General features: G+C 39.8%; 1 long non-coding RNA gene across 1 annotated transcript in view; it reads right to left on the minus strand.

Moving 5' to 3' along the window:
• LETR1 (lymphatic endothelial transcriptional regulator lncRNA 1) overlaps positions 1 to 27,732 on the minus strand; it is a 47,813-nt gene that overhangs the window by 8,199 nt on the left and 11,882 nt on the right. Inside the window, exons 2-3 of the long non-coding RNA NR_034095.1 lie at positions 1,936 to 2,068; positions 816 to 982 (exon numbers count right to left, since the gene is read on the minus strand). This is a non-coding gene — a long non-coding RNA (lymphatic endothelial transcriptional regulator lncRNA 1). The remainder of the gene's footprint in view (positions 1 to 815; positions 983 to 1,935; positions 2,069 to 27,732) is intronic.

Consider the following 27,732-nt stretch of genomic DNA (forward strand, 5'->3'; position numbering starts at 1 on the left):
GCTTTTGTGTTTGCCAGTTTGACCATATAACGTTATACATCTGGTGTATAGCTTGTTGGGGGCTTTTTTCTCCCAGGGTTCCTATGCATTCCCTATAGGACCCTCCTGAGCTTCAATTTGAGCGATCGTGTAACATAAAGGGGGTAAAGGAGAGCCTAGGAGGCTGGGGAGTGGGGGGAACGAGGGAGCAGGAGAGGGGAGGAGGCCTGGGGGAGACAGAGAGAGAAATGAGTGAAACATAAAAAAAAAAAAAGTTGAAAAGAATTCTTTTGCTCTCTTCTTTTCTTCTCACTGTTGCGACTGGACCCTGAGTCAGCCGGCGACAAGGCCTCGGTGGGAAAATGAAGGGGCCACAGAATAGATAACTCATTGGAATTCTGGCAACATATTCGTAAATAAAACAAAAGTGGGGCGGCGGACTGGGGGAGGGAGTGTGTTCCTGGGGAAGCGCAGAGCTGCACAGGGCAGGGCTAGGAGGACATTTCCAGGGCAGGCTCCCTGCCTTGCCTCTTGCAGGGGAAATCTAAGATGGTCAAAGGAAAGGAATCCAACGGTTTTGCCCAGGCTTGTTTAGCAAAGCTCTTGCAGCTGGAGCTGTTTATTATTGCAGCTAGGAAGATGCTCTTCCAAACACACTTCCCAAGCTGAGAGAGCTGAAATAATCTATCCTATTTCTTCAGAGCCTGCAGGGTCTGTGCCTCAGAAAGGGGTTTCTGTTAAAAGAGGAACATTCTTGAGCATGGTTATTCTTCCCCAGCTCCTCAAGAAGAGGCATCCCCCAGATTTAGTTTGCAGATATCTTTCCCAACTCTTACCTCCCATGCGCACTTTCGATAAAACAGCTTGGATACCGCTTCTTGGAATGATGATACTGATGTAAGTTTCTTGACTTAAAAGCTCCCAGTCTTCTAGTGGATTTGGTTGCTATTGGTGCTCATTGATGGGTAATCTTGTGGATGAGCTCTCATCTCAATTTCTCCATCTGCAAAATGGACATATCTTAATATCAAAGTCACAATTCTTAGTTTTCACATACCCGGATGGTTACTTTTGTAATGAGTCAATTTCATATTTTTGTTTAATATATACATAGTGTGTGTGTGTATCTGTGAGTACATAAAACCCATTATAAAGATATAGTGTATATTTTGGTGGTTGTGATTTTGTATGTCATCCAACTGCTCTAGAATAACTCTGCAAGTCTGATTTTGGCTGAAAGAAAACCTAGAATAAATAGGAAGACAATATGTTTGTGGCGGTTGTTTAAAGCTAATACCAGCAGCTTTTTCTTTTCTTTACTGCTGAACAATTTCAAAAGCAATACTAGGCATGAAAGCAAAACAAACTCATTTCAGTGCAAAGCTTATGAGTTATTTGTGTTTCCCTGAATTCAAGGAGGGGGTGGATGGGTAGGAAATTTGTTTTAAATATAGAAATGGGGAAAATACAACAAACTCCACAGAATATCTTGGAAGGTTCTGCAGCTTGAAGTGCAGAGTTTATTACAGATGTGATGTAACTTGTGGGTATAATTTTCAAAAATAGCTGAAGAATACACTGTGAGAAATCTTACCAAAAGTACCATTTTCCCCAATATATTTGTAACTCAAGTTACCAGCTGATTAACCCCTTGAAAAGAGTTTCTGTAGGTGGAAATCTATATCCCTGTCTGTTCTTAATCAATCCAGCCACATGACCAATAATGTGGATGCAAGGGTTAACACAATTAAATTAACAAATGTTTGGAAGGAAATGGTAAAATTGGTTTTTAAAAAGATGTTTAACAAAGACATTTTGCTGTTCCAATCAGACACATAATTACACAATAGGCTATTTTCAGGAATCTATTTTTTCCTAAATGTTAATCAGACCAGAAGAAAACGCCTGTTAGTCCACATTGGGATATGCTGTAATTCCCTTGGAAAAGTAACTTACCTTAGGGAAATATTTTACTTCCCAGAAAAAGACTGTTTATTTACTCTGAATTCTTTCCCTTGCAAGGTTGTTGTCTGGTTTTTGTTTTTGTTTAAACTGGTCTCAGAACATGGAGAAGTACGACCATCGTCAACTGAAACAAAAACAAAACAAAACAAAAAAACCATGGACTTGAGCTAAAATTCTTAAATGAATTGTTTAGCTTCAAAATGTAAAACTGTCCCAGCAAGAATGTCACAAAGTGTAAGCACAGAAGGATCTGTATTTTACTGAAAACATTCTTTATATAACACCCGGAGAACACGAAAAGAATGAGCCACCCTTACTTATATTACAATGTCTGTATTTATTATCTTTTCAAGTGTGCTTAACAAGTTGATACCATTTTCTAAAAGGTTTTTTAGTTTGAGACTCCTAACTCATACACCTGCTCTCTTAGGTCACAACTGTAAGTCCAGAAAAAGGTGTGCTTTATGTTTCTGTGAAAACTGGCTTTATTTCTAGTTATAAGGGAGGCTGAACTTTTAGGTAAACTTGGTGCCAGGTAGCAGCAGCAGGAGCAACGTGAAAAAGAAAAATGGCAGTTACCCACTTAAGAAAATAACATTCTGTTGATCGACAAACACCCTTTAAATTTTAGCTATTAACAGCTCTTACAGAAACAGGAACTGCCAATAACAAACTTGATTTCTAATGTCCCCAAGGTAATAATAATCCACTAATTTGACTATATCCCAGCTGGCCTATACAGCAGTTTCTATTTGTTTTTTGTTGTTGTTGTTGGTTTTTTTTTTTTTTTTTTTTTGCAGCAGGGAAGACTTATCTTTCTTTGGGAAAAAAAAAAGGTGGGGAGTGTGCTGTAAAGTTAAGAAGGAGTGTGGAGAGAAAACACATGGAAATTTAATGTGAAAGTTTCTTGTTGCAATAAAGCTGTTAGGTTTGGCATGTAGACTGTTATCAGATGGTTCCTTTGACATTACTTGAGCCTTTCAGTAAGTAAGACAAGCCTGAAGGATTAGGTTGTCAACTTCAGCCTGTCATCTTTGAGCAGAAAAAAAGAATTCCTTTTCTTTTTCTTCCTTTCTTTTTTTTTTTTTTTTTTTTAGGTTGCATCTTCCTTCACCAGCTTTGAGCTTTGGAGATCGCAGCAGAGGTAGTTACTGGAAGACAATCTCAGGCCCACATTGATCATGGAAGTCTAGCTTTTAAAGATAAGTGAGCCAACCAAGCTGTAAGGCTAATCACCCTGTGCAAGTATGAATTTATCTAAAGAGGATTTCATGTGGAACCCCCGGAGCCGGCCGCCAAACGGATGACTGCACACTTTAAGAAAGTTCGTGGGACTTCTCCCAATCAACTGTCAGGCCACATAAAGGGTCTGGAACGCGCTGACTTAAGCAAATAATATTTAGCCATCTAAGGATACCGTAAGGCCCAAGATTTTGCTTTGTTGGCGCTGACAGGAAATATTGATACATATCAAGTAACACTCCTGATGCAAAAAGCGATATGTGTCTCCTTTCGGCACTATCTCTGTTTAGGAAACACCTTGCTTTAAAAGAAAGCACAGGTGGGGGCAGGGACAATGTCAAACCCAGCACTTCACTGGGTTTTCCAGCTTTCCTGGGATCACAATTTCATGAAAATAGGAACTAAGCAAAAGTCGTCTCCTTTTTGAAAAAAACCAAATGTATTGGAATTTGAATTTGCAAACTCTCAGAATGTCTAGCTGACAAGTGAACCCTGCCCATAACCCCAAAACTATTCCTTAAGTTTATTAACCTAGGAAACCTGCCACTGATTAGGTTTGGGTGTGTTTCTCAGCTTTTACAATAGTCTAAACTATATTACAACTATGTGGTTACAGGGCCTAAAAAGTAAATTGAAATATGTGGCTATTAAGTCGCAAATCCCCTCAATAGGACATGTGAGTCAAAACTCAATTTTTTGTGAGAAGTAATGTCTGTAATCCTATTGACTCATCATTTTTAGACATTTGTGGCTTTAATTACAGGGGAAAAACTGTAATGTCCTGTCTTGGGAAAATTTGATAGGGAACATCGGGCTGTTACCATAGAATAAAGGTTGCGTTGGAGGATTTAATTTAAAAAGGAAAAAGAAAGAACCCTATTTTATCAGAATACTCTAAACATTCTCCATCAGTAACGTTGTGCCTGAGGTGATATCCTTGAAGATGCTGGAGGTGGCGGTGTTAATGAAATACCCGTTGGCATTAAATAGCATTTCTAGAATCCTGATTGTAGCGCTAAAAAGGAAAGTGAATTTTCTAACAGCACAATAAACAAGGGGAATTACGAAAAAAGAATCCGCTGGTTCTGTAAGGAAGATCGCTTCCAGTTAAACAAAGAAATTTAGGGTCGTCTGCTTTTCATGAAAATCACATACATATGGCCTTTGAAATTTGTCACTGAAGATGGTTTTGCTCTAAGGTAAAATTCACCACTTTATAGCTTTTCAGCCGCAAGTCTCTGGATTTTTTTTCTTCTCTCTTTTGGCCTGCAGCCCAATATGAATGTATGATCACTAGCACAAGAGTTAAACATCTGAGTCTTTTTGAAGTGTCTTCAATGTTACAATGATGTGATGGTTGATTGCCTAGCAGTCAGTTTAGAAAAGTCTGCATTCTGCCCCCTAGTGGTAGAGATTAAAGTTTAATGGCTGCTTCATAACACGTAATGCCTTTTTCCCTCCTTTTCCATATGTTAAGGATATAGAGCAGTGTGGGAATTACTGATGAGTTTTGTCATAATCTGTAAAGTGTATATTTTAAGCAGGAAAATTTCTAGACTGAATGGACAGGTTTACGAGGCACAGGGTCATTTGATGTATGTTTTGTGTACTCTGCTGTGCTTTGCCAAACAATATACATCACCACTATAAACAGACATTGTCCCTAATACAACATTCCTTCTGGGAAAATTTTGGGACTTCTTAATAGAAGCTATTAACCAAAAAGTGCATGGTGTTGCCAAAATTATAATATTATACACACACACACACACACACACACACACACACACATATATTCAGAGAAAGCATGGTATACTGTCAGATACTGTGGAACTTCACATTTCTTTTCAGATGACCATTTTTTGTACAGGAGGTAATAAAAACAATTTGCACTAGTTATACCACTTACTACTCCACAGGTCACATTCCCTTTGTGTTCAAGTTCATAAAGAAAACCACGCACACCCAAAGTAAGGGTTTGTGATGTCCGAAAGATTTTGATGTGGGAAACGTTGATCACGCACAGCTTTTTTTTCAGCTGACAATGAAGTGGAAGACATTTGTTTGAGTTTTTATCGTATCCTGAGTTCTTGCTTGTTTGTTATTCATCTTTAATGTAGAACTCATATCTTGCATGCAGGCAAGTGTTGGAAGGCACACAAAATCAAGCACCCATGATATAGGCATCATCCAATGAGTGTGTGTTTAGATCTTGCAGAAGTGAAACCCCATGTTGGAGGAAGACGGGACAGACCGAGGAGGAGAAGGAGGAGGAGGAGGCATCCGTGGAGAGTGGACAGGCGGGACAGCTGGACCATGTGTAATGTGTCAGTTTGCTTCTGTGCCACTATTGTGTTGCTGATGTTGGAATGCAGGGAAGGCGCTAGTTTATTGAATAAGGAGCCATGTAAATTCCAGCTGTCAACATGTGATCACTCCCTCGGACAAAGAGAGAGGCTTTCTCCTCACTCATATTTGATTTCTAGTCACAGCTACACATTTTCCAGAGCCCTCATTGCCACCAGGCTACATCTGAGTAGCCTTTGGCCAGCCTTCTCTTTTCAGACTGGTTTTGCAGGGTGAGTACCTGGCTTGTAATGGTGTGTTGGCTGGCATTCAAATGACACAGTCAGAGTTAGTTCAAAAAGAATGCTATGGCTGTAGTGATAACAAATAATCAATAGTATTTTTAAAGCAGAATTCTTGCTATTGTTTGATCTATTTCAGTATAAAAGGCAAATGCTTTACTCAAGAAGAATAGTCCAAAACAACAATTCATACACTAGGTAGCTTTTCTTATTGTGAGACATGTCAACTGGGTTGTAACCATGTCAGTCTATGCCTTTCTTTAAAAACTGCTCCAGGGAACCACAGGTCCACAGAGGGACAGAGAGGCGCTCACTTCTTATCTTGCTGTCTTGCTGTCTAGCTCTGTACCCTCGCCATGTGGCTTGAGAGAGGCTGCTGACATTACTGAGATTTTGAGTGGGGTTCTGGGAAGCTCTCTACAGACTGGAAGGGGAGGAGGAAGAGGAGAGTGAGGAGCGGGAGGACAGGAGAAAAGCATTCTCTGAGTAAGATCAACTCCAAAGCAGCTTGAGTCTCATGGGAGTTTAATTAGAGGAAAAAAAAATTCATCCTTGTTCACACAGGCAAACATTATTCATATCTAGGAGATCTTGGATGCCAGTATTTTTTTTATAATGGGAAACATAGAACATTTTGTGGTGTGTGGCAAAATCGCAGTGTTTCTTTCTCCTTGCTGCAGAATTTCATTATCTTGAAAGAACTCAAAATGCTACAACATTGGAACGGTAAGGCTCCTTACCCAGGCACACATTGCTTCCTGCTGCCGTGATATGGCACTCCCTATAACTCTGCCTATAATTTGCAGTAAGAGGACTTTGATGCTTCTTTAAATATACATATATTACATACATATGGATTACATATGTATTTCACTTTAAGTTACTCAACATAAAACCTCCATAAATTTCCATAGGGGTATTTTCTAGAAATACATGGTTAAACATTGGATGAAATGGAGAAATTTCTGGTGTCAGGGTTGCCTAGAAAAACTCTTTTGACCTAAAAAAAATGCTTTTTTAACCCCCATTAATTTTCTAATAAAAAATTAGCTCCAATTTCAAAATGATTTGGTGACATTTAGCTATACTGATTTTAAAAGATGTAAGGGTAGCTTCATATTGAAATCATTCATCGGTGGTCAAATCATTGCCATGACCATCATCTTCATCCACTATTGAATGGTTTGCTGTTGACTAACAGATACTGTGCTCAACACAGGGAAGGGCACACAGATGTAAAAGAGGATGTTTTCCTCGCCTTGCCTGGGATTAGAGTGAGGTGAGTGAAGCCTATGAACAATTTTTTTTTTTTTTTTGAGATAGAGTCTTGCTGTGTTGCCCAGGCTGGAGTGCAGTGGCGCCATCTGAGCTCACTGCAACCTCCGCCTCCTGGGTTCAAGTGATTCTCGTGCCTCCGCCTCCAGAGTAGCTGGGATTACAGGCACGTGCCACCATGTTCAGGTAATTTTTGCATTTTTAGTAGAGACAGGGTTTCACCATGATGGCCAGGCTGGTCTCAAACTCCTGACCTCAGATGATCTTCCCACTTTGGCCTCCCACAGTGCTGGGATTGCAGGCGTGAGCAACTATGCCCGGCCTGAACTTTGATATTTTTTTTGTCATGGATTGTTTGCACTCATTTTGATTTTTCAGTATATTTCATTCTAATATTCTTTCTCTTGATTACTAAGATTTTTGGTGCTTCCTTAAATTCTGTACCCAGAGAAGTGCCTCATGGTCCATCCCTGCTGGCTTGCCTCACGTGGAAAGATGGAGGCTCGCTTGTTTGTTTCTGTCTGTTCAGCTTTTTAAGATTTCACAGAAATCAATTTTAGCCAAAACATCCTTCGTGAATTCACTAAAAACACATTTATAGACGGTGACTTTCCACATCCTCTCTCAAAGGTGCTTTTTGGGGGCTCCCAACACTCAAATAAAAACTCTTGCTATGTGCACTGATATTTTTCTGTCTAGGAACTAGTTTTTTTCAAATTTAGGATGGAATAAACAGTGATTTTCCTGCACACTGTTTGTCTTACGTCATTCCTCTGATGCCTTCCAAGAGCCCTGGTCAAACCTCTTCCCAAGAGAGGGGTTTCTAATCAGCCCCAGGCTCCTTTGCCAGCTCTTCCAGGTAACAATCCATTTCCCTTCATCCTTCACCTGATTAACTGCCCCCATCTGCTGTGGATTCCTGTTCTTAGTCATGCGTCTCTCCCCAATGCTGCCCTCTGGGCAGTGGATTTCAGATTTCCTTGTACCGGGCAACATATGTTCTTCAACTCTGGAGCCTCATGTCAGACACGGCCACTGCCAAGACGCTTGACATGGCCTGCTCCAAACTTCTTCTTTGCTAATTCAGCCTAGAGAGACAGCGTGCCAGCATGGAGAATAACACCGTTAACATGTGTTTACGGGCATTAAAGCGCAGCTCTACACTGTTATAAACCCCTGGCATATTTGACCTGGAAGGAAAAAAAAAAAAAAAGATCTCCGTAGTGCAGTACTTGGCTTTTTCAGCAGATTGTGAGTTCACTTAGACGACTGGAAAAGACAAAGGGATGAGAGAAAGGGAGAGCAAGAGCAAGGGGAGAGAGAAATAGGAGAGAGGGGGCAAGAGAGAATATACATCTCTATTTGTACCATTTAGCAACAGAGAAAGAAATGCAGAAACCACCTCTCAAGTCAGGAGAATGCTCCAACCAGCCAGGGTGTTATAAATTAGAGCCTGTCAGTATTACAATGTATATTAATAGTCACACCTCTTTTTAATGAGTTTGGCATTGGCAGCTGAGAGGAAATACAAGTCATCATGGCTCTGCTCATGCAAACCCCGACAAAGGAATCCGTAATAAATCTTCCTAGAACAGCACTCACCATAAATATGTATCACATAAGGCATCTGTTTTACATTCTGCATATAAATCAGCATAGCGCTGAATAGCAATGAATCAGCTTCTCAATGCCTGATTTGATAACAAATCGACTTGGATCTTAGGAGAGAGAATTTACAGCCCTCACCCTCAAGACAGATAGTCAATACTTAAGATGAGTGCCAAGTTAACTTTTCTTCAGCAACCAAGTTTACAGAATGAGAGTCCTGAGGCTGGGGTGGGAGCCCAGCGGGTGGGGCTGGACAGTTCCTGGGGGAGGGAAAGCAGTCACTCTTCCCAGGGAGAGGAGCTTTGAGGTTTGCAGCTCTGGATTTGAAGGATGTCGTGTGGCATATCTCTGCATTCTGCATCTGACCTCCTCTCCGCTTTGTCCCCTTTCTTGGATCTCCCACAGGTACAGTTTCCGCAGGCTGTAATGATGATGGAGTCATCTTGGTGGTGTCATTTGGGGCGGGGATGGGGAGAACCCAAGGTGCCCCCCCAGGCCGGGTAGGGCTTTCTCTCTGCAGCCTCTTCACCTGTCCCAACTTGGCTGGGGTGACTCCCACGACTAAGGGAGGAAGCAAAGCTCTGACCCCTTTCTTTACAGACCGTTGATAATAACTTCCTGTAAAGACCTTTTATTCCAGGCTACAAAATGAGTGAACAGTATTTATGGCATTTTTCCAGTATCAGAGTGTTGATGGGATCAGGTCACAGAGGGAAACTTGAATGGCTCTTTATTGTCAGAGCACTGCCTGATACAGACATGGCCAGCCACACAGAGATATGAAATGCTTAAAGACTGCACAGGCAGAACAGCCCCTCTAAAGTCTCTGCCAAGATAAAGGCAGCTGTTCCGGCTCACTTAGGTTGGCGGAGCAGAGAGCAGGTACCAGTTGGGCAACTGGGTGTAACCTGGGGAGAGCAGATGTTTTTTTGCAAAATTCTGAAGGCAACACTTTATTTGCTCCTGGTTTTTTGTTTTTGTTTTTTTTTCACTTCAGCTATGGGTCATCATTCCTTTTTCTTTGCAAACATCCATCTCATTTGTAGTAGGAAGCAGCCACTTACCATATTGTGAGCTATGAGTCTTCTTAAACACTGTCTATCTCCTAAGGCCAAGCAGTTGTGATCTCTTTTTATAGGCTCAGCTGCTGTGGCCTTTCCAAATAAATGCCTGTTTGGTGACCCATGTCTCAACCCCAAAGTGAGAAATGTATTTCAAAATTGCTTCAAATACTGCCTATATTCAATGCTTTTGGATCTAACTAGATTAATTATAAAAAGCCCTCTTCCGTTGGGTTTGGATAGATAACTAGAAAAATGGAGTCTGAGCTTTCCCAAAATCCTCTCCGATTTAAACTAATCACAAATCTACTACAGCCACTATATTTTTATCCCTCACTTTAGAAGATATGCAGGTATGATTGTTCATTGAAGAGGCTGTTGTGTTTACAGGCCTCTTAAAATTCTGGTTTTATTGTTCAAAATCTCCAACGTACCCGAAAAACAATTATAATAAAAATTGCCCGAAGTATAATCTATTTCAAGTATCAACTCACTTAACTATTTTTCTTGTCATGGAACAATTTGGATATATGCAAATACTAGAACTAGGGGTGTTTTTTTCCCCTCTAAAAGACATTTTGCAGTGTCTGGAAACGTATAAAGTTATTTTTACATCTCACAATTTGGTGGTGGTGTTGGGGGGTGCCACTGGCACCTGAGAAACACCAGATGCTCTTAAATACCCTACAATGCACAGATGGTACCTCCATTCCCATCCCCAGCTCTGCCCTCATGCAACGAAGAATGATCTGGCCCAAAATGTCAATAGTGCCAAGGTTGAGAAACTCTGTGCTGGAAGAGATTGCCCCAAACTGGATTCTAAAAGAACTTGAGTTGGCGTCCCAGATCTGTGGATTCTGTGACCTTGAGTAAGTTACTTATCTCTCTGATCTCTTCTGAAGTGAAAAGTGATCAAACTGTCTGGGTGTGAGAAGAATATAAAAGGATATATGTAAAATATCTGGCCAGAAATAAGTTCAATCATTACTTTTCTCCCTTCTTTTCCCTAACAAAGTGTAGTAAAAGGCTCTGCCTCAAAGTGAGTTCTGAGAGAAAGGAGTTTTGAAGTACTCATATTTTTCACTGATTTGGTAATATCTCAAGATTTTATTACTTGCCTGTTTAAAAAAAAAAAAAAAAAAAAAATATATATATATATATATATATATATATATATATATATATATATGCGCCAGGTAGAGTTTGGTGAACTGAACTGAAGTTGTCTTTTTGGTTTGAGAGACTGCAGAAAGGATTTTAGTCTTCATTTAAAATTTTCTATAGTGGTTCCAATGGCATTGTTAATTTTGGGTGAGAAAAGCAGAAAAACTCTAGGTTTGGCAAGCAGACAGACCTGGATGCAAATTGTGTGTCTCTCCTTCTTGACTTTGTGACCTTGGGCACAAGGTATTCTTTCCAAGATTCAGATTTCCTCATTGGTAAAATGGGCATCATGACTTCTATATTTCAGATTTTTTGTTGAACAATAAATAATATAAATAAAGCAGTATCTAACACAAAGCCAAATGGTGTTGAGGATCTGCCTAAATCACAGTAGTTGACAGTAACAGTTCGCCTTGCTTTTGTTCTTGCCTCATTAAAGAGATGAGAGGTAGGCCAAAGGCAAGGAACCAAGGGCTGCCTACATGCAGGGAGCAAGCCCCATGGAACGGACCGGGGAAGACAGCTCACCTTTCAGGGAACAACCTGTTCATGGAAATCAACCCTACACATTTGTGCAAGATCTTCCAACTAGAAAAGTCTCCTAACATTCAGCCTGTGGTTTTTCAAAGAGAGGAAGTGGTCAGGTACCACATATTAACAGAAGGGCTCTGTGACAGACTGTATTTTCCAAAGATGGCTGCAACAAACTCCTATCCCAGACCACCCACTGAGAAACTCCGTAAATTAATTCAAGGTATTTTATTTTAATATAATTTTTGATATGCTCATTTGTTTCCATTTATAAATGTTATGCACACTCATTATAGAAAATTTGGAAAATGCCATAAAAAAGAGTTAAGATAAAAAAAATCAAGTTAGCAGTGATATTAAGATACCTTTTTGATGAATTTCTGCTTTCAAATGTGTTTAGCTACATAGTTTGGATACAAAATTATAAGTGACCACAATGCTAAGGCTGTGTCATCACATGCAAAACGAAGTGCAAATTAAAATAGTTATTGCAAAAATTTAGGCCCAGAACTTTCTTACCTACAGAGTCCCTGTAATTAAGGAAAGGTGTTTAGGATAATTGCCTCCATTTACCACTTTAGTTGTTTGAGGGAATGAGGTATCAGGAACTGGCTGGCATAAATTTTTCTTTTCTGATTATATAAAATGCTTAGTCCGACTATTTTTCTCAAAGTGGTTTTTTTGCTCAATGAAAAGCCGTTTTTAAAAAAATTAAATATACTTTGATTCAGTTGTCAAAAGAATCTTCATGTTTTCAATAACCAAATTACCAATCAATTCTATCAATTTAGTTTAAAATAATAATAATAAACCAACCCAGTCATTAATGAATTCAAAACAGATATTTCAAGGTATAAAATGTTCCTTGAAATTTTTCTTTTTCTTTCTTTCTTTTTTTTTTTTTTTTTTTTTTTTGAGATGAAGTCTCACTCTGCTGCCCAGGCTGAAGTGCAGTGGCGCTATCTGGCTCACTGCAACCTCCGCCTCCTGGGTTCAAATGATTCTCCTGCTTCAACCTCCAGAATAGCTGAGATTACAGGTGCATGCCACCATGCCTAGCTAATTTTTGTATTTTTAGTAGAGATGGGGTTTTGCCATGTTGGCCAGGCTGGTCTCAAACTCCTGACCTCAAGTGATCCACTGCCTCGGCCTCCCAAAGTGCTGGGATTACAGGTGTGAGCCACTGCGCCTGGCCAGAATTTTTCTAATAAGTGAAATTAAATATACTGTTCATATTATGCTGTTATTCCAAATTGAATTTACAGGTGGCAAATAGAGGTGAGCCAGTCTTGGTTATGCACTATATTTGCCCCCATAGTGCACGCATGTTAGTGAGTGTGGGGTGAGGAGATGGCTTGAAGACGAGGTAGACAAGAGAGGTTGTAAATATTTTCTAATTTTTTTCCAATAATTTAGAAGAGATTGCAAATATGTTCTTTTTCCAAGACTTAAGTCAGATACAAGCCTTCCCAATGACGTGTGAAAGGCAAATTTTGGGGGTGCTCCTAATTTTACATCCTATGTCTTATATTAAAAGATGTTGAATAAGTTCTTAGGTAGCACTTAGGATTAAGAGTCACACAGCACGCCTGTAACCCCAGCGCTTTGGGAGGCCGAGGAGGGCGGATCACGAGGTCAGGAGATCGAGACCATCCTGGCTAACACGGTGAAACCCCCGTCTCTACTAAAAATACAAAAAAAAATTAGTTGGGCATGGTGGCTGGCACCTGTAGTCTCAGCTGCTGGGGAGGCTGAGGCAGGAGAATGGTGTGAACCCGGGAGGCAGAGCTTGCAGTGAGCTGAGATCACACCATTGCACTCCAGCCTGGGTGACAGAGGGAGACTCTGTCTCAAAAAAAAAGAAAAAAAAAAAGGAGTCACACGGAAAATTGACTTACTATGAAATCATCAGAGGAGTAGATAATAGGTAAACAAAAACTCCCTTTGGCTTCTAGTCCAATCTTGAAGGCAAATACAGATTAGAAAAAAGCAAAGCTGGAACCCTGAATGTCACAGCCACACAGGCTATAGGACATAGGACCCATAAGGAAAAATCAGGGATCCCGGGGACAGGCAGGAGGTGGATTGGATGTAGGAACTATAATCTGGTGAGGAAGGGAGAGAAAGACTTTTGCCAGGAAAGGATGGATCGTACTGCCAAGGAATGCAGAGTGAGGCATTTCCTAGCACTGCAGACTAGCAGGACTAAGGGTTTCCTACTGGTACACTGTCCACATTCCTAAGCCCACATTTCCATTGTCTGTTTACTTAGGGTATTTTTTGGCTGATTGTTTGCTCATGTATTTGTTTCTTACTTTCAAAATGACTAATTTGAGAGCAGACTGCCATTCTACGAGTCATATTATGCAAAAAATAAGTAGATCGAAGCACAGGGACCATCTACCTTGCAAAACAAAGTCTTTGGTTCATTCAGAGTTGGTTAATTTTCTCAGTGCTTTTCTCCCCCTGGTGATGTTGAACAATTTTCTTTCTACCTATCCTCACTTCCAATGTGCTTGTTTTTAAGATCATAATTTGTTGATGAGTGGTTGTTTGCCAAGACCGGTCTTAGGGTCTGTGAAACACTAAAGTGTATATAATAGGCAAATCCTCAAGCTTTGTTTCAAAGATGTATGCTACCTTGACATGTAGCATTTTGTATTTGACAAAAAGGCAAGAGATCTGCATAATCTAGACAAAAAATGAAATCTTGTAATTTGCAGCAACCTGGATGGAACTGGAGGCCATGATGTTAAGTGAAACAAGCCAAGCACAGAGAGGCAAATATCACATGATCTCATTCATATGTGGGAATGAAAAAAGTGCATCTCATGAAGACAGAGTAGAATGGTGGTTACCAGAGGCTTGGAAGGGTAAGGGGGATGGAAGGATGATGGGAAAAAAAACCGAACATAAATACTGAACTGTACACTGAAAAATGGTAGAGACGGTATACTGTATCTGTATATTTTATCTCAATAAAAAGTGTAAGATATTAAAAAATAATAGGCCACGCACGGTGACTCACGCCTGTAATCCCAGCACACTGGGAGGCCGAGGCGGGTGGATCAAGAGGTTGGGAGCTCAAGACCAGCCTGGCCAACATGGTGAAACCCTGTCTCTACTAAAACCGCAAAAATTAGCTGGGTGTGGCAGCGAGCACCTGTAATTCCAGCTACTTAGGAGGCTGAGGCAGGAGAATCGCTTGAACCCGGGAGGCAGAGGTTGCAGTGAGCGGAGATCGTGCCATACCACTTCAGCCCGGGTGACAAGAGCAAGACTCTGTCTCAAAAATAAATAAATAAATATATACATACATACATATAAAATAATAATAAGAAGTAAATGTGGCTGGTTTCAAGCATGAGTGTGGTAGACTAATTGGGATCTTTTTGCCAAGGTAAGTATCATGGTGGGTGTGGTATGTGAAAGGCTTGGTGCCCAGTTGAAAGTCCTGTTCTCACATCATCTGCCTCTCATTTACGCTTCCTGTTACGACAGTAACCAGGGGTGATCACAAAACAGTAGGAGATGTATTTCCTGGTTTTTGCCGACTAGTGAGCATCTAAGAGACACTTGTAACTTCTCTGTGCTTACTCACACTCTGGGATTTCTCTCTCTCCAGCTTGGATAGGTAGTTCCTCTTCTTTTAAAATCATTCAAAACTATTTTCCCAACTGGCCCTATGCTTAAATAAAGCCAGTAAATTTAACTACGGTTTTCACTCAGTAACTCAGAGTACATAATAACTAATTGATTATTTAGTTTTAACAAAAGTGGCAAATATTAAAAGATATGACTTTTTTATGTAGCAAAGATAAACTCTTCTCCAAATCCTGCCAAAAGTAATTCTGAAGTAATATAGAAAGGGAAGGGAGAGAAGGAAAAAGAATTTACCAAAGACAGACTTTATATATGAAAATCAGTAGATAAACATAATACTAACTTGAGAGTAGAAATAATAATAATAGTAATGATGATGGCAAATCACAAACGGATAGTACTAAATTTCCCTCCCTTTTCACCACCTTACAGGATATCCCGTCTAGCTGCAGAAACAAAACATGGAAATGAATCAGTCGATAAAGGATTTTCTCTCATTAAAGATGTTGGTGATTTTGTCCCGTGTAGGGGAAGTTGAACATTAAGGTGGATGTCCATAATCTAAGGGGACCACGGTCATTCACTCTCCTTGCTATGGGATGCAAACTGTTTTGCATGTGATAAGAATGCCAGGCTAAAAGTAAAAAAAAATTTTATCTCAGTATGATAAGAAATTACGCCATAGACTGACCTAAACATTGAATTTTTTGACGATTGCCCCCACTGATAGATTTTGTATTTCTTAGTAAATCTCAGGAAATTAATATCCATGACAGTCTCCATAGAAAATACAAAATAGAATCATACAAAAATTGTGTATAATTTTTCTTTATGGGGAAAGAGATGGAGCAAAGAGCAATAATTTTGAGGAGGTGGGACCACCAGAGAGAATAAAAGAAGTTCTTATATTTAAGAGAAATTCAGAGGTCATTCAGAAACTATTATCGTGATATTTCTCATTTCAAAGAGATGTAAGTTTCTCTTAAACAATTTATATTTTTAAAAAGTTATAACGGAAAATGAGTGAGAAGTGAAAAGTCCCTTTTATTCCCAAGGTTCATATGACCCAGAAATGAACTTGCCCTAAGAATCAGGTTTAAGACATTCACTTTCAAGCTTTAGAAGGCCTTGAGCTTCATTTTTCCTGGAAAGATAAACTTAATATTATACATGTTATCATCCTGTTGGGATCAAAATGGAGGATTTGCTGGGATGAAATATTAAAAGATGGAGGATGTGAAGAAAGATTTATGTAATGCTAATTTCAGGCAGCTTTCAAGGTTAATGCTTGTCCAAATTTTCATGGCCAATTCCTCTCGCCCAAGGACCACATGGGCAGCTCTGTACTGCTTGTCACTGTCATCAGCCACTTGTGTGACACGTTGGCTGCAATTCAACAGTAAAGCATGCATATTCTCTACTGAACATTTGGGGAGCCTGCAGGCAGCGAGTTGCGATGTAAATGGAAAAAAAGAAAGTCTGATCATAGCCCTCACCATCATAAGTTATCTAGGTGTCCTGCTCAGGCTTCCAATGTGGGCACTCACACAGGCCACCCAAACTGCTGACATCCTTCATTGACCTTTTCACAGCAATTGTGAGCCTAATGACTTTGTTTTCGCGTTTTGGAACTGAACTTTACAAGGATTGCTTCCAATCCTGGGTGGTGCTGAGAAAACTCAGCTTCACTAGAATTTGGCCGAGACCACCAGATGCGTTTCATGTGAGGGCCTTTTCCCATAATCTGACCAGAATGGTTTATGAATGTTCTGGGGAGCAGAAAGCCGGCCCCGGAGGCTGAGAAAGGGCTGTGCCCTGCTCAGCTAGGAGACCACACAGCCGTCCTCTTTCCCCTCTGAGTATTTATAGTTAAGAAACCACACCACCCCTCTCATTCGGAAGCTGAGGGTGAAAGTGGAAAAAACCAGAAACACAAATTGCATCCTACAGCTGAGAAAGTCTCACTCTTGGAAAAGCTAGAAAATAAATAAATAAAGGGGAAAATCCAAATGGGATCGCTCTTCAAACACACAAATGATCTTATGTTAACAGTTGGGATTAAACAGCTGTCTCGTGGTTATGCGATCATAACAGATGCTGTGTGCAAACGTTTCCTGCTAGCTTTGTTTTGGTTATTGCTGTTTGTGCAGTTCATTGGGCTGAATTCAGCTTAAGGGATACAGGTTTTTATTATCCTTCTGTGCTGCGCAGGCAGCTTCATCATCTCTTTAAGAGGAAAGGGGGCGTGTGAGAGGGATAGTTGGAAGGGAAATGGAGGGTGGGCTCTCCCATGTCACATTGGGAATGATGTCATATTGATGAAATTCCAACACACTGGTTTATGACCACTTTGCCATTAAAGTGGTCCCCAGCTCATTTATGAGTTTTTTGTTGTTGTTGTTTTAAAATTTTGTTTTAGTGGAGGCTGTGTTCAGTTCTAGTGCAGTTTATGCAGCTGGAATAGAATTTATAGAACATAGAGAAAACGTTTCCCTTCTTTCTTTCTTTTTTTTTTTTTTTGGATGACTAACAGATTACAACGTTGTAATGATCCCTATCTTGCCTCTTCCTCCCATGCCCTCCAGAGATAAAATGTAGTGGCTGATTTTGATTTTTCCTAGAAGTTTCATTTCATCTTAGAAGTTGGGATCGCCTTCTCTGTGTCAGCCAAGTGAAGTGGTGAACTATCACTGTTTTTGGAAATTCAAATTTGGAAGCCATTTTGGCCTGAATTATATTACTTAGTCAAACCAAAAATATCCTCTTGGCTTAAATTCTTCAGAAAACTGCCACAATTCATAGCACACTTTGCCTACCAACGGATTTAATTCTATTACTTATATCCCAGCCTTAAAAAATACAATGCAAATGGCAGAAACAATATTTCTGGGTACAAAAAGCACCTGTCTATCATAAGGAGGAAGTACAGAGAACGACGTGGGCCATGTTTAGGGGTTCTGGCCAAAGCTCTGACTGCCTGTCACCCCCATGAGGACCTCGTTTCTCATCTATAAAAGGCTGATTGTCCATGCATTCACTGGCCAGTAGTTCATCTGTGCTTTTGGAAATTTTGGATGGGGGAATGGGAGCAGATTTGATTGCTCGAAACCTTATCTTAGGAATCGTACCCTTTCAGTAGGACCATCCTAGCACAGCCAAGTCTGACAGCTTTACTGAAGCAGAGCTTTCTATAATGTGTAAACATATTTAAGGAACTGAACTTAAATTGCTATCTTTTTCTCACTCATTCAATTCAAGGGGTTGAATGATTACTTTTCAGGTCTTACCAGCTCACAGAATGAAATTTGGCCTTGTCTGATAAGTTGTCAAAGTAGTAGCATTTCTTTGTTTTAAAGACATTTCAAAATAATTTCATGTACATTTAATGCTTGATCCTACTAACAGCTTCTGGAGGTATTTTTCTAATCTTACAGAAAAGCAAGTCAAGGTTCATCCTATAAGGTAAGTATCATATCTAAGTTGTCCAAGTTTATTCAAGTAGTGATAGAGCCTACATTTGGACCACATTAGGCACCAATGGCCAGATGACATAGAGATTAAGAAGAGTATTTGCCCATAGACCTCTTGTTGTCACTGACTTTTTGAGTTTGAGACCAGCGTGGGAAATGAAGGGAGATCTTGTCTCTACAAAAAAATAAAAGTAAAAGAAAATTAGCTAGGCCTGATCATGTGTGCTTGCAATCCCAGCTACTCAGGAGGTTGAGATGGGAGGATCCCCTGAATCCAGGAGTTTGGGGCTGCTTGCACCACTGCACTCCAGCCTGGATGACAGGGCAAGAAACCATCTCATGAAAAAACAAGCAAGCAAGCAAACAAACAAACAAACAAACAGACAAAGAAATCCCTGAATAGCAGCTCCTTTTGTGGGGACAAGCCTGTGGCAACCTTGTAACAAAAGGTCCTTTGAAAGAAGATATACAAATGGCAAATAAGCACATGATGAGATACGATCCCACACCCACAGGATGGCTAATATCAAAAAGAAAAACACAGAAAATAACAAGTATTGGTGAATATGTGGAGAAGCTGGAATTCTTATAGATTCTTGGTGGCAATGTAAAATGATACAGCCATTGTGAAAAACAGTTTGGTGGTTCCTCAAAATATTAAAAATAGAATTACCATATCATCCATCAATTCTACATCTGGGTATATACTTCAAAGAATTGAGAAAAAGGTCCTGAAAAAATGGGTTCAAATCAGTGTTCACAGCAGCATAATTTACAATAGCTAAAATGTGGAAGCAACCCAGGTGTCTATTGATGGATAAATGAATAAGCAAAATGTGTTACATAGATATGTCTTAGTTAGTTTTATTTGCTATAACAGAATATCACAACAGAAATTTATTCACAGTTCTGGAGGCTGGAAGTCAGAGATCAAGCTGCCAGCATATCAGGTTCTGGTGAGGGCCCTTTACTGGGTTGTAGGCAGCCAACTTCTTGCTGTGTTCTCTCTTGGTTGAAAGAGAGCTAGTTATGTTTTTGGCCTCTTATAGGGCACCATCCCACTCATGAGGGCTCCACCCTCCTTATCTAGTTACTTCCCAATGAACCTACCTCCAAACCATCACATTGGGAGGAGAGCGTCAAGACAGGAATGTTCGGTGGACATAAATGTTCAGTCCATGGCAACATACAATGAAATATTATTTAGCCTGAAGAAGAAAGGAAATTCTAACATATGCTACAACACAAACTAATCTTGAGGACATTGCGCTAAATAAAATAGCCTAGTCACAAAAAGACAAATACGTTATGATTCCACTTATATGAAGTACTTAAAGTAGTGAGAAGCATACTCAGCTTTTCCGCATTGTTATGTAACCAAACACTACAGTGTGCAAATTCAATACCTGTAGAAGAAGTGCAAATCAGGCCATCAGAGCAGTTTGATTTGTACCCTTTCCTTGATGATTAGAAGTATCCAAGATCTTCATTCTTTTCTTTTCAAGCTTGCTACCAATTAAAATGTAAATCTCTCCAAGATAGAATGTTTTAAGCACTTTTATCGTTGAATGAATTTCAGATCCTTTAATCTTCTGTCTTTTTTGCTAAAACAAAGATTTTTAAAATATAAAAGTAATAGAGAAAAAGGGTTAATAGCTAACGTATGCCAGGATGGAGGTGAACAGCCCAATAGAAGAGTTAGCACGGGTTGTGAGGAGACAGTCGACAGAAGTGCCAATTTAGATGTCCCACAAGCAAGTAAGATGGTCAAACTCACTTGGTGGCAGGAAAATGAAAGCACCAAAACAGTGAAGTATCACTTTACATCCATCAAGTTGGCAATTTTTTTTTTTAAAAAATCACCAATTGCAGGCAGAAATGTGCAGAAAAGGGTACATTCATACATCACTTGTAAAAACCTGAAGACTTTTTTGCATTTTGGAAAAGCAATCTGATAGCATGTTGTAAATTTAAAAAATATATGTGTGTATACATATATTGGTATACGTACACATACATATATATATACATACACACACATATTATACACACACACAAGTGTGTGTGTGTGTATTCTTCCACTCAGCAGTTCCATTCCCAGCAATCCATCTCAAGAAATAAACACCTTCCTCTTTTAGGCAATATGCAGAATGTGTGTGTGTGTGTGTGTGTGTGTGTATGTGTGTGTATAAATATATATGTATGTATGTATATATTATTCAGCCTGAAATACTATAGTTAAGAGTGATATAACAAACATATATATATAGCACATAGCATTCTTCCTGGGTACAAAAAAAGAAAAAGTGAATCAAGCATAATACATTCATATCATGGAATAGCATGCAATAGTTAAAAAGAATAAATTAGAGCCATATCAATTGACTTAGATGGAACCCCATGAAGAACTACTCAGTAGGAAGACACTTATATAGGAAGCATATAGCCTATTTTGGGAAAACAAGTAATCACTCACAACCATACACACACACACAAACACACACACAATCACATGCACCATCTATATCCACCCATAGAGGATCAAAGGATTATAATTGTATAAGAATATATGTGCTTGGAAATATGAAAGAATTAGCACTGCGTAATTCGTATTATTTCCCTGTGGGGAGCTGGGCTGATGTGAGGTGAGAGAGCAGAGACTGAAGTGAGTTTACAAGCTGAGAAGAGAAGGAATAACAAAAACATAGTGCCAGTGGAAAGGAAACACATTTTTGTATTTTTTTCTATATGTGGATATAGGTATAAAGAAATTTATATTAAAATATTAATCTCCCATATAGTATTTTTTATAATTAAAAATCTTGAGGAAATGAAGCTTCATGAGAGATACTGCCCCTCTTAAGACTATTATAATAGCTTTCTCAGTCAAAAACAAAAATGAAAACCTGAAATCAGTGGCTTGGGTCATTCAAGTTTTGATGTGCAAAAATTTCACTGGGCCATTTCCTAGGAAACTAAGTGGTTCTCATTTCACTGTTGTGTACGCCTTCTAGAAAGCTGAGGAAGGAAAGAAGGCAATAGTTCATAATTGGCTGAGCATTATTTCCTAAACATGTAGAGGTACCATCTATAATAAAGGCTGAAACTGAGCATCATTGGTTATTGTTTTAAGTAGTGGCCAAGTTATCAAATGATACTGCGTTACACTCCTTCCTTGACTCTGGGAGCTGTGTTAGGGGCAGCTAAGGATAGCAAGGCAGGGCCAATTGTGTATCCTGGTGATAGGGTATAGCTCTCAACACATAATACTCTAAATTGGTTTCCCAATTTGTATTTCTAAGATAGGAATCCAACTTGCAAAAGTGAAGATGGGGCTGTTTTACGCCATGTAATCCTATTCCTAATTTATTTTCTTTTTCTTTTTTTTTTTTTTTTTTTTTTTTTGAGACAGAGTCTTGCTCTTTTGCCAGGCTGGAGTGCAGGGGCGCGATCTCAGCTCACTGCAATCTCCACCTCCTGGGTTCAAGTGATTCCCCTGTCTCAGCCTCCCGAGTAGCTGGGACTACAGGCGTGCGCCACCATGCCCAGCTAATTTTTGTATTTTTAGTAGAGATGGGGCTTCACCGTCTTCAGCAGGATGGTCTCGATCTCTTGACCTCATGATCTGCCCACCTTGGCCTCCCGAAGTGCTGGGATTACAGGTATGAGCCACTGCGCCCGGCCCCTATTCCTAATTTCTTAACTTTGGTTCATCTCTCAGTTGGTCAGTCACAAATGTGAATTCTTTTTCGAGAATTATGGTACAAGGATGATCAGTTTTGAGATTATTTGAAAATGTGTATATGAAGCCTTTATCTACTAGCGGAAAGCTTTATTAGTGACAAAAATAGATGAGTCACTGTCAATTTTCCACAGATCTAGGTAAATGCTTCTCTATTACCTTTAGCATTTCAGCAGAAGTGTCTATGGTCAGCCCATTTTATGTTGTTACAGGTCATTTTTTTCTTTTTTAAATAAATTTCTGTATGTTTATATATTTACTTTAATAATTTAATAATCTTCTCAGCCTGATTATCTTTTCACTGAGTTTGCTTGAAAAGCTGTGGGCCCATGAACTACATATCCAGATTGTTTCTAAATTCAGTAAAGTTTTCTTTAATTTTGTCTTCAACTATTGTTTCTATTCTAGTTGTCCTGTCTTCTTCTTCCAGAAACTATACAAATTCTAAGAGTCTATCTTCATTTTGTTATCAGTGTCTATATATTCTTACAAACTAACACCATATTCTTACCATTTTTTAATAGTTCTTCAGTGTATGAAGTTGGTTCATGATATCACTAGTAGAATTTTCTGTCTTTCCTTTCTTCAGTATAGTTCCTACTCTTTATGGTGATCAAATTTTGCTTTAATTCTGCAATCGCATGTTAGTTTATCTTGTGTAATTGATATGATACATCACAGTTAGATACTATGCAAAGCTCATAGTATCCAACTCATACTGAACTTTGCTTAGTATCTAACTCTGATGTATCACTGGTAATTTCTTTACCTTATAAATCAGCATAATTTCTCTCAAACAGTCCTCATTTGCACAGATGCCAAAACGTATAATGTTATTATTTCCTGGAATGCTCCTTAAGAGATGCATTAGTTTCCTATTGCTGCTGTGACAAATTTAGTGGCTTAAAACAACACACACACTTATTATCTCACAGTTCTGGAGGTCAGAAGTCTGAAACACGTTGGCAGAGCTATGTTTCTTTGGAAGCTCCTGGGGAGAATCTGTTTCCTTGCTTTATTCAGCTTCTAGAAGTCAAGTGCATTTTTTGGTTCATGGACCCACATCACTAACACTCCCACCTGTGCTTTAGTAACATCTCTTTCTTTACCTCTGGTCTTCCTGGCTCCCTTTTAAAAGGACCTTTGTAAATACACTGGACAATGCAGTATAATCCCCCATCTCAATAACCTTAACTTAATCACATTTGCAAGGTTACTTTTTGCCAAGCAAGGTAACATATTTGTAGGTACCCAGGAGTAGGACTTGTACATCTTTTTTTTTTTTTTTTTTTTTTGGTGGGGTGGGGGGCATGATTCAACTCACCACAGATAAATTTACACACTATTATCTTTATCTTAGTCACAGGCAGGTACATAAACTAGGCTTTTTATTCTAATCTCCCTTTCCAGTTTGCTCAGAATTTTTGAGGATGGTTCCCAGAAAGGGAAGCAGAAGAGACACTGTTGTTGATGGCGTTATTAATACAGATTTTTCCAGGCTAAGCCAGCAAGCTATCTCTACCTGATCTCACCTCCTAGCTATTTGTCTATTCTCTTTTGCAAATGTTTCTCTCTGCCACCTGAAAATGGTAATTTTTAAAAATGTACTTGATATCGTTTGAATATGTGTCCCCACCAAATCTCATGTTGAATTGTAATCCCTCATGTTGGAGGTGGGGCCTGGTGGGAGGTGTTTGGGTCATGGCGGTAGATCTCTCATGGTTTGGTGCTGTCCTCGTGATAGTGAGTGAGTTCTCATGAGATCTGCTTGTTTAGATGTGTGGAACCTCTCCTCCTATTCTCTCTCTTTTGCTCCCTCTCTGCCACGTAAGATGCTTGCTCCCCCTTCACCTTCCACCAGGATTGGAAGCTTCCTGAAGCTTTCCCAGAAGCCAAGCAAATGCCAGCACCATGCTTCCTGTAAAGCCTGCAGAACTGTGAGGCAACTACACCTATGTTCTTATAAATTACCCAGTCTCAGGTATTTCTTTATAGCAGTGCAAGAACAGCCTAACACAGTATTTAATTTTTTTTTTTTTTTTTGAAACAGAGTCTTGCTTTGTTGGCCAGGCTGAAGTGCAGTGGCACGATCTCGGCTCACTGCAACCTCCACCTCCTGGGTTCAAATGATTCTCCTGCCTCAGCCTCCCAAGTAGCTGGGACTACAGGCGTGCTACCACACCCGGCTAATTTTTGTATTTTTAGTAGAGACAGGGTTTCTTCATGTTGGCCAGGATGGTCTCAATCTCTTGACCTTGTGATCCACCCGCCTTGGCCTCCCAAAGTGCTGGGACTACAGGCATGAGGCTCCACAGTAATTAATTTTAAGAAACTGACTGACTGACTTGCATTCTGTAGTAAGGTGCATCGCCAGCTCACAGTTTACTTCCCACTGGGTCCCAAAGGGAAGGAAGCCCCTGGACAGGGGAAAGGAACACACTCCCGTAGTGCTGCCCGTCATCTGCTATGTGTGCAATCCTTCCTCCTGTCATCAGTCTCTCACTTTGGCTTTTCTTATAACTTATCATTTAGTGGTGTATTTCTGTCCTGTTACTCAGTCTATTCTCTTGCATTTTGCTCCAATTTCATAAACACCAAGTCTTCTTGTATTTTACTGATTGAGCCAAACTGTTCTGACTTTTTCTCTGGTTCTGACAACAGAGCACATGCCATTTATCACAATTGCCATATACTTTTCTTTGTCCTCCAAGTTACAGTTGCTGTTGTTCCCTCTGTACTCTTGCTTAACCAAAGTGCCCTCCATCCAGAACTAGTATTGAGTAGAGCACTCTGGAGCACCACTCACTCTCCACTTGGGTGCTGACTAAAATCTCTTCTCAGAGTCTCAGCTGCTATCAGTTTCATGTCAATTACCCTAGCCCAATTCCAAGTATTTAATACCAGTGATCTGCTAGACAAAAATTGGATGTTATCCTAAGGCTACTGCCTAGTATGTGATAAATTAAATTTATACATAAAAACTACGCCCCATAGAATTTACCTGTCCTGAAGGACTCTTCTTGTAGGGACCGCATCTCCCACAGTGACATTTGCTAAGGCGATTCCCCACCAATGCCACACAGTTATCCCATTACATGTACTCGACAACACCTGTGTCTGCTTATCTTTTTTTGGAAATACACAATTCCTAGCAATGTTAAAAAGTTAACTATTAATCAAGAGGAAATAGAAGGGAGAAACTAAATTCTGAGAGCCTCAAAGAACCTGCAGGTACATAGTATGTTCTTAATCAGCCTAAAGGGTGATTCTCATGGGAGGCAGTCAGGGTGGAGAGTTGAGAGGGGGCTGGAAGAGCACAGAAAGCATCTTTTAATTTAAACTCTGATGGCACAGCACAGATGATGGATTGATTTATCTCTTCTGGCTGCTTTCATCAATACTCCAGTTAGTGGAAATTGTTCCCAATTTGGCAAAAGTTTGTCAATGCTAGGGTTCATTTTTAACTTTTTCCATGACTTCATGGGGGGAAGAGTATTATTTAGATGGCATTTTAAACCAAACTCTTTACACGTGATTTCTCTTCAAGGAAATGCTATGCAACACATGAGAGGAAAGGAACATGGGACAAGCAGAAAGAGAAACACTATGTTAGAGTGAGATAGCAGGCAGCTAGGCTTCACCAGGGAATCGGTCATGGGTGCTGAGTCTTATTATGTAAACTAGTTCAACGCACCTCAATAGGCAGCTTCAGATTCTGCATACTTCCAAATTTATTTGTATTCTGGTAACAGAATTGATTTAAAGTCTTTGGGTTTGCTTAGTTCTTTCTGGCCCACCTTCCTTTCCAGGTCAAAATCCTTCTCTCCACAACTAAAGTCACTTGTTCCCAGTAATTCTATCCTCTGCTTTAACTGGAATATTCCCTAGGCCTCTTTATCAAGTCCACTGTTTTCCCCAACCCTACCCCACAATGACATATTCTAAGTATCTACTCCTGTTTCCCAGTCATTTCCAGCTGGCTTATCTATGGGCACTAAACATCCTCCTAGTTGCCCCTGAAACTCTGCAGCCCTCAGGAAATCATCCTGCTCTTGCCATTAGTTCTATTAAAAGCTTGTTTTTTGGTCTCCATTTTTGTTCCACTTTGTTTATTTTCATTTTTTAAATTTTATTTTATTTTTTCAGACAGGGTCTCACTCTGTTGCCCAGGATGGAGTACAGTGGTGCAATCACAGCTCACTACAGCCTTGAACTACTAGGCCTAAATGATTCTTCAGCCTCGGTCTCCTGAGTAGCTGGGACTATAGGTACATGCCACCATGCCCAGCTAATTTTTGTTTTGTGTTGTTTGTGTAGAAACAAGGTCTTGCTGTGTTGCCCTGGCTGGTCTCAAACTGAACTCCTGGCCTCAAATGATCCTCCTGCCTCAGCCTCCCAAAGTACTGGGATTATAGGAGTGAGTGAATCACTCTTCCAAGAGTTCCTATCCTAAACAGGCAAGTTCTAGTTCAATGCTTGTTACAGGACCAACACATCAGACACCTTTTCTAATGACTCTTCCAAAAATCAGCTCATTTACATTGTTTGGGGTTGCTTCATTCTGTTTTCCTCCAGTAAATATATAATGTTTATGGGGGAATTATTTATTTATTTGCTACAGTCTTCTTAGATTTTGCTTAAATTATTGAGTAAAACCAAGCCAACCCTACCTACCGGGGAAGAAAAGAGCTTTACCCTCCCTCCCTAAGCCTGTTGGATATGGAGACCCTGGCCCCTTCCCAGCCCCTGCTAGATTGGTCTCATGTGCCTCATTTTTGGCTTCTCACAGTCCCCTTCCTCAGCTTCTGTTTTTCTTGGACTTCTTCTTCCCCTAGGAACAGGATACAATCACCACAGCTCTCAGTGGGCTTATAGTTTCCAATAAGTTCACAAATACTCTAATTTTATTTGATGATTTCATAAAGAAGCAATGGGGTTTATAGTTCTTTGCAAAAGTTGTTTTGCATACCCAAGGTATGTTTGCAAAGTGTATCTGTTTCAAATAAACAGATAAAGAGCTATTCATAATAGCTACTACTAGTTTCCACCTCTTTCTTAGGTGGTAAAGAGCCCTTCTGGTTCACACTGTACTCTAAGACTCAGTTTCTGAAACTCAAATCTCCTTAATTTTGGCATGGGGAATAAAGTCTGCCTAAACTTGCATGCTAGATGCTGAATTAAGCTACTTGGACTAAAGCCTAAAGCAGGATCCTAGGCTTGGCAAGATTTACATACACTGCCATCCAGAAACTGCTTCCTAGTTTTCCATTCAGGTACGGGTTCCTGGATCATGTACTCTAATTTAACTGTATGGAAGGGACTCCCCAAAAGCTTTCAAAGAATCTTTTCCTGAGCTCCAGATAAATGCGAAATAACACTGTCACACTTTTTGCATGCTCTCAAACTTTCCAGAGAGTCAGAGATGGACATTTAGCAAGCCACCCTTAAGGAATGTGGGCTTCCCACAACCCAGAATGATATTTCTCCAGTTGGTACAACAAGAT

This window comes from Homo sapiens, chromosome 15 (assembly GCF_000001405.40).
Source record: "Homo sapiens chromosome 15, GRCh38.p14 Primary Assembly".
Lineage (NCBI taxonomy): Eukaryota > Metazoa > Chordata > Mammalia > Primates > Hominidae > Homo > Homo sapiens.